This window comes from Homo sapiens, chromosome 1 (genome assembly GCF_000001405.40).
Source record: "Homo sapiens chromosome 1, GRCh38.p14 Primary Assembly".
NCBI lineage: Eukaryota > Metazoa > Chordata > Mammalia > Primates > Hominidae > Homo > Homo sapiens.
In genome coordinates, this window is record NC_000001.11 from 178,106,122 (window position 1) to 178,117,815 (window position 11,694).

Genomic DNA, 11,694 nt, shown 5'->3' on the forward strand with positions numbered 1-11,694 from the left:
CAAGGTGAAGATTATTCTTGTTTTGTTTTTCTGTTCTTGTAATGAAATTTTTTTAATGTCATATTTTATGTAATAATTTTCCAAAAAGGATAGCATGTACACTATCTCCAGGGTAGTGACTGACAGCATAAAAAATCTCTTTGCCTGGCTATAATCTATATTTGCATGTTCCAGTTTGTGCTGAAGTATAGCATATCCACAATTCCTAGATTTCCCTCCATGGTTCCCTTAGGCTTGACTGTGTACAACTTTATGTGTATTTGTAAATTTCAAGACTGCCCTTGAGTGAGGAAACCCAAGGCCTTTCTGTTGCATGTTCCTATTTTGAAATGGCTGCTTTTTGTCCAAGTGGTTGCTGATTACTCTGTATCAACGTATGGACCTTGAATAAGATGGTCAGTACAGTAGCTACCAAGTAACGAAAGATATGTTGTAATGTCTAAAACAATGACTTTGCTTTTAATGTTGTCTAGTTTTATAAAGACTTCATGGTTTTCCTTTTTATAGAAAATAAAATTTATATTCCTGTTTTTGAATCTAGCTTGATAACATGATTAAGAAAAAATGGTATCATATGGTGATTTCTATTGAAATAGAAAGATACCCCAGATACAGTCGATTTCTTCCTGTTTTGTTCAGGTCAGAAAGTCTTCAGTCATTCTTTTGCAAGTTCAACCAAAATAAGCTTAAGAGAACATTTTCAGTTATTTGCATTTTAGGTTGTAGTTTTGGTCTATACTGAGATTGTCATGCCAGAGTGTCACCTTGAGAGAGGCTTGACTTTGTAATATCTATTAGCTGATCATCTTTCTTTTCCTGTAGCTTAACTAGCATAATAAATTTCCTCATATATATCCAGTAATATTATTCTGTTTACCTGTGAGCATATTGTATGAAATTATATGTTTTTACAGAGTTGCTTTTTCCCTACAATCTTGAAAAACCTTGCATTTTTTTCTGTCAACAAACTTATTAAACATGATAAGTCATTTCTCCATTTTATCAGGGAAATAATTGTGAAAAAGTTAGTGACTCCTAACGATTCTTGGTGATGTGAGATGATTACTATTTGACTCCCAATCCAGTAGTTTCTTTTGAAATATTACCCTCTATTATTGAAGTTCACATTTACTGTTTTAACATATTTGTGTTAAAATGTATTACAAGCATTTTTGTGCTTTTCTAAGTTGTCTTAGAATTTAACAGTATGTCTTATCCTATCTTCTCTGCCTCTTTGAGACCCATGTGGATAGTAACAGATATTGAGTTCTTTGGTGAACTGCAGGAATAAAAGTGAGGATGCTAGATAGAGTAACCAATAAATTATTTTGTGTTTTTTTTATTATGGTAAATATAGCAAATTTTCATTTTAAGTTTGCTATATTTAATAAGTATACAATTTAATGATATTAAATACATTCATAATGTTGTGTAACCATCACCACTACCTATACCCCAAATGTTTTCATCATCTTCAAACTTCCCATTAAACAATGACTCTCCCTTTCCCCTCCTCTTAGCAGCTGGTAACCTCTATTCTTTCTGTCTCCCTGAATTTGCCTATTCTAGGTACCTCATATAGGTGAAATCATACATTTGTCCTCCTGTGTCTGACTTATTCACTAAGCATAATGGCTTCAAGGTCCATTCTTGTAACATGTATAAAAATTTCATTTTTTATGGCTAAATAAATATTCCATTGTATGTATAAACTATATTTTTTATCCATTCATTTGTTGATGGACATTTGGGTTGTTTCCACATTTTGTCTGTTTTGAATAATGCTGCTATGAGCTTTGGTATACAAATATCTGTTTGAGTCTCTGCTTTCCATTCTTATATACCTAGGGGTGGAAATGCTGGGTGTATGGTTGTTCTATGTTTAGCCTTTTGAGAAACTGCCAGACTGTTTTGGTACAGCAGCTGTATGTACCCTTTTACATCCTTACCAGCAATGCACGAGGGTTCCAGTTACTCCACTTCCTTACCAACATTTATTATTCATTTTTGGTTTAACCATCCTAGTAGGTGTGAAGTGATATCCCATTGTGGTTTTTATTTGTATTTACATAATGATTAATGATATTGAGCATATTTTTATTGCTTATTGGCCATTTGTATATCTTCTTTGGAGACATGTCTATTCAAGTCCTCTTTTTTGCATGAATTCTCAGTAGATGTATTGGTATTTTTTAGATTGTCACTGATGGTGTTAATTATTCTACATATTAATCTTAACTCTGGTAACTGTGACAGTCATGAGCATGATGATAATGATGATAATGAGAAAACTTGTTGAGTGTTTGCTGTGAACCTGGCACAGTTCTAAGTGCTTTATGCCTGTTAACTTATTTAATCTTTATAACTACACTATCAGGTAAATACTATTGTTTTTCTCATTTTATAGATGAGGAATTAGAGGCATAAAGATGTAGAGGAACTTGTCCAACATTATACAGAAAGCAAGTGGCTGATGCGGGATTTGAATCTAGACAGTTCCTCTCAAATCTGTGCTCTTAATCACTATATAATTTGACTTCTCACAAATAAAGAATGCAAATAGTTATTATAAAAAGTATTCAGTATGATGTTTGTTAATTTGTATCCCAATCCTGTAGTTTACCTGTGAGTTTTATATTAGCACCATGACTATAAAATAATGACATTGTTATGCTTGATACGCTTTGGATGTCATAATTTACAGAATATTTTCATCGAGTTGTATAAGTTTTATTAACCGTAGATAACATGAGGAAGCTCTATGTGGGTGAGCCATTTGAATAGTTTTGTATTTAAAAAAGGTTAAAGTCTGTTAGCTCTCTAAAATTCATGTATTTTTAGCAGTAATATAAAATATGGACTTTTTTTCTATAAAAGCATGTCTTTCTATGCCTATTACTTATGTTTGATCAAGCCAGTGAGACTACTGATAGTTAAGAAATCACACAATCTTAAGAACCACAAGTTGTATTCATCTGGGACATAGCTTTATTTACTCCAGGATTTATTCAGGTGGCTCTCTACTTTAATATTAGTAATTCTAGGAAAGAGAATTCACTTTCACAGAAGCAGGTCAGTTAAAACATTGCTCAGAGCTTAGCCCTACAGGAGATATTTTAGGACATTGATAGAATTCACAGTTTTTTGTTTTGTTTTTTTTTCCTAGATGAGGGTCTTACTGTTTTGCCCAGGCTGGTCTTAAACTCCTGAAGTCAAGGAATTCTCTTGCCTCAGTCTCCCAGGGAGCTGGGATTATAGGTGCATGCTTCTCTACTCACCTTCACATGTTCTTTTCTAAAAGCTCAGGAACACTGTGGGCTCCTAGTGAGCCTAGTTCTCTTTCTCTAAGTTCCTCTTGAGCCTGACTATACTTATGGTACATATGCTTTATAATTCATAATTTATATCCCAGGGTTTGTATTTCAAGGACTCAGAAACTTAAAGTATGATTCATACACACAAAACTGTGAATCAGTTTTGAAATTTAACTCCATTTCTTACAAATAGGTTGCAGTTCTTAAAAATCTGTGATTCTGTTTTGGCCAGTTTAGCAATGGGAAGTGAATTACAGTATTTCATTCTGACCAATTCATATATCTTTTTAGAAACCAGATTTAGGCGAGGCATGGTTGGCTGACGTCTATAATCCTGGTGTTTTGGGAGGCTAAGGTGGGAGAATCTCTTGAGGCCAGGAGTTGGAGACCAGCCTGGGCAACATAGTGAAAACCTGCCTCTACAAAAAATAAATTAGCCAGGTGTTGTGGCCCGCACTTGTAGTCCTAGCTACTTGGGAGGCTGAAGCAGGAGGATTGCTTAAACCCAGGAGTTCAAGTCTACAGTGAACTGTGATCCTGCTACTACACTTCAGCCTGAGCTACAGAGTGAGACACCATCTCTAAAGCAAACAAACGAAAAACCGGATTCAATAAGAAAATTGCAACAACAAACTACACATCTTTAAAGTGTAATTTGATGTATTTGAAATAAGTAACCATGAAACCATTACCACAAGCAAGAAAATGAACACTTACTTTGTCTAAAAAGTTTCTTTGCATCCCTTTGTAATTCCCCCCTTTCCCCAGCCTAACACTAGACAGCTACTAATCTGCTTTCTATCTGTATAGATTAGTTTGGATTTTCAAGAATTTTATGGACATTAATCCCTCATTATTTACCAGGGGATTGGTTCCAGGGTCCCAACAGATACCAAAATCCTCAGATGCTGAAGTTCCATATATAAAATGGCATTCTATTTGCATATAGTTTAGGCTTATCCTTCCATATACTTTAAACCATTCCTAGATTACATAAAATAGCTAATACAATGTAAATTCTATGTGAATAGTTTTTATACTATATTTATACAGTGTATATATAGTATATATAGCATATATAGTGTATATATATGCTATATATACTATATATACAGTGTATATATAGTATATATAGCATATGTAGTATATATATGCTATATATACTGTATATATACACTATATACACTATATATAGTGTATACATATATATATATATATGTATGTATACTGCAAACTCCACCTTCCAGGTTCAAGGTATTCTCATGCCTCAGCCTCCTGAGTAGCTGGGATTAAGGCACACACTACTATGCCTGGCTAATTTTTTGTATTTTTAGTAGAGATGGGGTTTCACCATGTTTCCCAGGCTGATCTCGAACTCCTGAGCTCAGGCAATCCGTCTGCCTCAGCCTCCCAAATTTGGGATTTGCTGGGATTACAGGATTGAGCCACTGCACCCGGCCATACTGTATTGTTTTTTAAAATTTGTATTCTACATTTTTTATAGTTGTGTTTTTTTCTTTTTACGGAATATTTTTGATTTGCAGTTGGTTCAATCCATGGATGTGGAATTTATGGAAGGTCAACTGTAAGTGGAATTGTATGATATATACTAATTTTTTGTTTGGCTTCTTTCAGCATATTTTGAGATTCATCCATGTTGTTGCATGTATCAATAGTTAATTCCTTTGTATTGCTGATAGTATCCCATCGATATTCTACAATTGTTTGCCAGCTCGCCTTTTGATGAACATTTGAGTTGTTTTTAGTTTTTGACTATGACAGATAAAGTTGTTGTGAACATTTGTGTACTAGTCTTTGCGCACACCACCACACCTGGCTAATTTGTATTTTTTTGTAGAGACAGGGTTTTGCCATGTTGCCCAGGCTTATCTCAAACTCCTGGGCTCAAGTGATCCTCCTGCCTTGGCCTCCCAAAGTGCTAGGATTACGTGCATGAGCCACCATGCCTGACCTTGTTTAATATTTTAAGAAACTGCTGAATTGTTTTCCTAAGTGGTTGTACCGTTTTCCCACTAGCAGTGTGTGGCAGGTTCCATTATCACATTTTCCTACCAGCAGTGTACGTAGGTTCCATTTCCATGTTTTCCTACCAGCAGTGTATGTAAGTTCCATTTCCACATCCTCATCAATACTTAATTTTAGCCATTTCAAGAGGTGTGCAGTGATAGCCATTGTGGTTTCAATTTATTCAATGACTAATAATGTTGAGCAGCTTTTCATATGCTTATTGGATATTCATGTATCTTTAGTAAAATGTTCAATCTTTTGTCTATTTTATTTTATTTTGTTTTAAGATGGAGTCTTGCTTTGTCACCCAGGTTGTAGTGCGATGGCATGATTTCAGCTCACTGCAACCTCCGCCTCCCGGGTTCAAGCGATTCTCCCACCTCAGCCTCCCGAGTAGCTGGGATTACAGGCACCTGCCATCATGCCTGGCTAATTTTTGTATTTTTGTAGAGACAGAGTTTCACCATGTTGGCCAGGCTGGTCTTGAACTCCTGACCTCAGGTGATCTGCCTGCCTCCACCTCCCAAAGTGCTGGAATTACAGATGTGAGCTACCGCTCCTGGCCTCTTTTGTCAATTTTAAAATTGATTTTTTCTTATTTATTGTATGAAGTCCTCATATATTTTGGATATGTCCTTTGTCAGATATGTGATCTGTAATTATTTTTTCCTCATTCTGTGGCTGGTCTTATTCTCTTAAACCTTTCAAAGAATTAAAATTCTTAATTTTGATGAGGTTGATTTATCCCTATTTTCTTTTGCTTTCGTGGATTGTACTTTTGCTATTTTATTTAAGAAATCATTGTCAGCTGGGCACGGTGGCTCATGCCTGTAATCCTAGCACTTTGGGAGGCCAAGGCGGGTGGATCACGAGGTCAGGAGTTCGAGACCAGCCTGACTAATATGGTGAAACCCCGTCTCTACTAAAAATACAAAAGTTAGCTGGGCGTGGTGGTGTGTGCCTGTAATCTCAACTACTCAGGAGGCTGAGGCAGGAGAATTGCTTGAACCCGGGAGGTGGAGGTTGCAGTGAGCCAGGATCGCGACACTGCACTCCCGCCTGGGTGACAGAGCGAGACTCCATCTCAAAAAAAAGGAAAAAAGAAATCATGAAAAATGATGAGTTCATGTCCTTTGTAGGGACGTGGATGAAATTGGAAATCATCATTCTCAGTAAACTATCGCAAGAACAAAAAACCAAACACTGCATATTCTCACTCATAGGTGGGAATTGAACAATGAGATCACATGGACACAGGAAGGGGAACATCACACTCTGGGGACTGTTGTGGGGTGGGGGGAGGGAGGAGGGGGGAGGGATAGCTTTGGGAGATATACCTAATGCTAGATGACGAGTTAGTGGGTGCAGCACACCAGCATGGCACATGTATACATATGTAACTAACCTGCACAATGTGCACATGTACCCTAAAACTTAAAGTATAATAGTAAAAGAAAAAAAAGAAAAAAAAGAAATCATGGTCTAGCCCAATTTCACAAAGATTTTCTTCTATTTTTTTCATTGAAAGTTTTATAGTTTTTGTCCTATCATCCATTTTGATTGTATTTTTGTGTGTGGTAAAGAATAAGAATTGAAATTCTTCTTTTTTTAAATGGATATCAAATAGCACCATTTGTTGAAAAAACTATCCTTTGAGCACTCAGGTGCCTTTGTATCTTTGTTGAAAATGTAATATATGTGTGGGTTTATATCTGGACTATTCAATTCCATCGGTCTGTTGTCTATCTTGATTTACAAGCATACTGTTTTGATTACTATAGATTAATGATAAATTGAGGTGAGATATACAACCCTGACTTTTTTTTTTTCAAAGTTACTTTGACTACTCTAGATCATTTGCATGCCCATAGGTCTTGTTCTGTCACCCAGGCTGGAGCTCAGTTGTGTGATCATTACTGTAGCTTTGAACTCCTGGGCTCAAGCAATCTTCCCACCTCAGATTCCTTAGTAGCTAGGACTGCAGGCATGCATCACCATACCAGGCTGATTTTGTGTATGTGTATGTGTGTGGGCATGCATGCCTGCGAGTGTGTGTGTGTGTGTGTGTGTGTGTGTGTGTGTGTGTGTGTGTGTGTGTGTGTAGAGGCAGAGTCTTGCTGTATTGCCCAGGCTGGTCTGAAACTCCTGGCCTCAAGCAATCCCCCAACCTTCGCCTCCAAACGTGCTGGGATTATAGCTGTGAGCCACCACACCTGGGCGGAAATTTTAGAATCACTTTGTCACTTTTACAGAAAAAAAGCCTGCAAGATTTTGATTGGGATTGTGTTAAATCTATAGATCAATTTTGGGGAGAGTTACTATCTTAACAATATTAAGTCTTTCAATCTGGGAGCACAATACATTTCTTCATGTGGTTTGTCTTTGATTTTTTACTACAAAGATTTCAGTATATAGATCTGATACATCTTTTGTTGGATTTACCTTTAAGTATTTCATAATTTTTGATAATATTATAAATGTATGGTTTAAATTTTTAAATTTCCAATTATTTGTTGCTAGTATATAGGCATACAATAATTTTTTACATTTTTTATCTTGTACCCTGCAACCTTGCTAAACTCATTTATTATTTCTAGTGTTTTTTTTTGTTTTGTTTTGTTTTTTGTGGATTCCATTGGCTTTTCTAAATGGAGGATCATATTGTCTGCAAATAAAGATAGATTACTTCTTTTTGTAATCAGGATACCTTTTATTTCTTGCTTGATTACATTGGCTAGAACTTCCAGTATAATGTTTAATGAAGTGGTGAGAGTAGACATCCTTGCCATCAACCTGATCGTAGGTAAAAAGCAGTCAGTCTTTTGCCATTTAAGTATGATGTTAGCCTTAGGTTTTTTTGTTGTTTGTTAAAAAATACAGATCTCCTTTATTAGTTTAAAGATGTTCCCTCCTATTTTTAGTTTCTGAGAGCTTTTTTAAATTTTAAATTAGAAGTGGATGTTGGATTTTTGTCAAATGCATTTCCTGTATCTATGGAGAAGACCGTATGGTTTTTCTTTTTTGTTCATTAATATTGTGAATAACCTTGATTTTTGAGGTTTTTTTTTTTTTCTTTGAGATGGAGTCTCGCTCTTTTGCCCAGGCTGGAGTGCAATGGCGGGATATCTGCTCACTGCAAGCTCCGCCTCCTGGGTTCATGCCATTCTCCTGCCTCAGCCTCCCTAGTAGCTGGGACTACAGGCGCCCACCACCACGCCCGGCTAATTTTTTCTATCTTTTAGTAGAGACGGTGTTTCACCATGTTAGCCAGGATGGTCTCGATCTCCTGACCTCGTGATCCGCCCGCCTTGGCCTCCCAAAGGGCTGGGATTACAGGCGTGAGCCACTGCGCCCAGCCATTTTTGAGTTTTAAACCAATTTACAATCCTGGCATAAACCTTATTTGGTCTTGATGTATTATTATTCTTTTTCTGTGTTGATTTGATTTGCTAAAATTATGTTAAGATTTTTGTACCTATATTCATGAGGAATATTGGTTTTTAGTTTTCTTATGTCTTTGGTTTCAGAATATGCTGACTTCGTAGTATACATTATAAATTTTTTTTCCACTTTCTGGAAGAGTTTGTGTAGAATTAGTACTATTTCTTCCTTATATATTTGGTACAGTTTATCAGATAAGCCATCTACACCCGGACTTTTCTTTGTTGGAGGGTAATTCACTTCAAATCCAATTTCCTTAATAGATATAGGGCTATTTAGATTATTTGTTTCTTCTTGAGTGTGCTTTTATTGTTTGTGTCTTTGAAGGAATATGTCCATTTTGTCTAAATTGTCAAATGTATTAACATAAAATTGTTCATAATATTTCCTTATCTTAGAATCCTTAATGATGTTACCTCTTTCATTCCTCATATTAGTTTATGTCTTCCCTGTTTTGTCCCCAGTCTGGTTCATCAATTTTATTTATTTGTGTGGGAGATCTAATTTAGTGTGGGAGAGTAGGAAAGACCTTCTGGAGGAAGTGACATTTGTACTAAGACCAAAAGGGTGAATAGGAGTTAACTAGGTAGTGGGAGTTAGTAGTGGGTGAGTGTTCCAGATGAAGGGGATAACACATGCAAAGGTTCTGGTGTTAGCCAGCATGGCAGCTTTGAGGAACTCTGAATAAAGGCTGGAGCACAGATAGTGAGAGGGTACATGGCATAGTATAAGGCTAGAGAAATAGCTATGCCAAAGATTTGAGTCTGGAAGGTGATGCCTGGTATCTTTATTTTCAAAAAGACCACTCTGGTTGTGGTGTAGAAAATAGATTCCTGTGGAGCAGAGAGATCAGCCAGAAGGCTGCTTTGTAGACTGGGTAAAACATGGTGATAATTTGGGCTAGGGAGATGGTAGAGAAAAGAGAAGTGGACAGATTTTGAAAAATATTTTGAAGGTTAATATTAATAAGACTTGGTGAGGAATGGATATGGGGGCAGGCAGATATTGGGAGAGATAGAGAGATGTGTGAAGGGTAAATTTTGGTTTAATGGTGAATGAAAACTAGAGGGATGTTGGTACTATTTACTGAGAGTTTTTTCCCTAAACTGGAAGCATTTTTCTTCCAGGGGAATATGTATTTTATTTAGGGATGTTTTAAAATCCTATTCATCCGTTAGTACCCAGCACAAATAGAACTTCTTCCTTGGAGTCTTTCTTGATATCTCTTTGCTTGCTTTTCCCTCCTGACTAGAAATAACCTTTCCCTTTTCTGAATTTCTATTAAACTTTGTTTACATTTCTTTTATGGAGCTTTTTTATTATCTAACTTGTCGTATTCTTATTGGTATATATGTTTTATTTTCTTTATTGTAGTAGAAACTGCTCATTGAAAGGGAGCGTTACTCATTTTAATAGTTCACAACTAAAAGTAATGGTTTCTTCAGTGAACACATGCTATAGCCTTATGGAGGTGGGTAGTCTATGAAAGAGTATACCTAGTTCAGTAAATCAGAACTCTTATGCACATTGAGGTATCTACAAACAAGAAGAATCACTAGAGTAGTATAATAGTAGGAAGATTTCTTATGATTCCATTATTTAGGTTATTAACCATTATTAAACATTACTTTTTTTTTTTAAAGGAGGAACTACTTCAGTTAAATATGAATCTTTGCTCAAAGTTTCTTAATAGATTGTTATTTTATTTTATTTTATTTTTTTTGAGACGGAGTCTTGCTCTGTCGCCCAGGCTTGAGTGCAGTGGCACGATCTCGGCTCACTGCAATCTTCACCTCCTGCGTTCACGCCATTCTCCTGCCTCAGCCTCCTGAGTAACTGGGATTACATGCACCCACCACCACGCCTGGCTAATTTTTTTGTATTTTTAGTTGAGACGGGGTTTCACCGTGTTAGCCAGGATGACCTTGATCTCCTGACCTCGTGATCCGCCTGCCTCCGCCTCCCAAAGTGCTGGGATTACCCACCACACCTGGCCTAGATTGCTAATTTTTGTAATTTTTGATTTATCAGTCTGAAAGTGAAGAGCCAAACATAGACTTAAATAATGCCTAACACTTTTATAGGGCTCAATAACTACTTAAAACATTCATACATAATATATCTCATTCTGTTTTCATAACAGACCTGTTAGATGGGTAAGAAAGGTATTGTTCTTAATTTACAGATTTATGCCATATATTGAAGAACACTTATTAAGACATTGGAATGAGGCTATTTTGTGTTTACAAAAATCAAAATATTCCCTTATACTTTCTCTACTAGAGTTAACTGGAAGCATTTGAGTAATAAAGTAATTGATACTGTTGTAAATAGTAATTTTTATGATTTAACCTGAGTAGCTTTTGGGGCTAGCATCTCAATCAGGTGCAGTTTCTGAGATGAACTCAACTCTAACCATTCTGTTTAAGCATTTTATGATGTTTTAATATTTTAGTTTAAAACAGACTTTAAATTTGTCTTTGAAGTAACTAGTAAAGATGCATTTTGAAATAGATTTATTTATGTTTAAAATGTACTTTGAAGGAAATAGTGTGATCTTATAAATAAAGCACAATTAGGATGTGGAATATGCTATGGTCTGAATGCTGATGTCCTCCCCAATTCATATGTTGAAAGTTAATCACCAATGTGATAGTGTTAAGAGGTGGGGCCTTTAGGAGGTGATTCAGTCACAAGGGTGACTTAATCCTTGTGAATGGGATTAGTGCCCTTATAAAAGGGGTGCAAGGGAGCTAGCTGTATGGACTTTTCTGCCATGTGAGAATGCAGCAAGAGGCACTGTCCATGAAGCAGAAAGTGAACCTTCACCAGACACTGAATCTAATGGGGCCTTGATCTTAGACTTCCAGGCCTCCAGAAATGTGAGAAATAAATTTCTATTATTTGTAAA

At 36.2% G+C, this 11,694-nt stretch overlaps 1 protein-coding gene across 4 annotated transcripts in view; it reads left to right on the forward strand.

Moving 5' to 3' along the window:
• RASAL2 (RAS protein activator like 2) overlaps nucleotides 1–11,694 on the forward strand; it is a 384,747-nt gene that overhangs the window by 12,018 nt on the left and 361,035 nt on the right. The window lies entirely within an intron of this gene.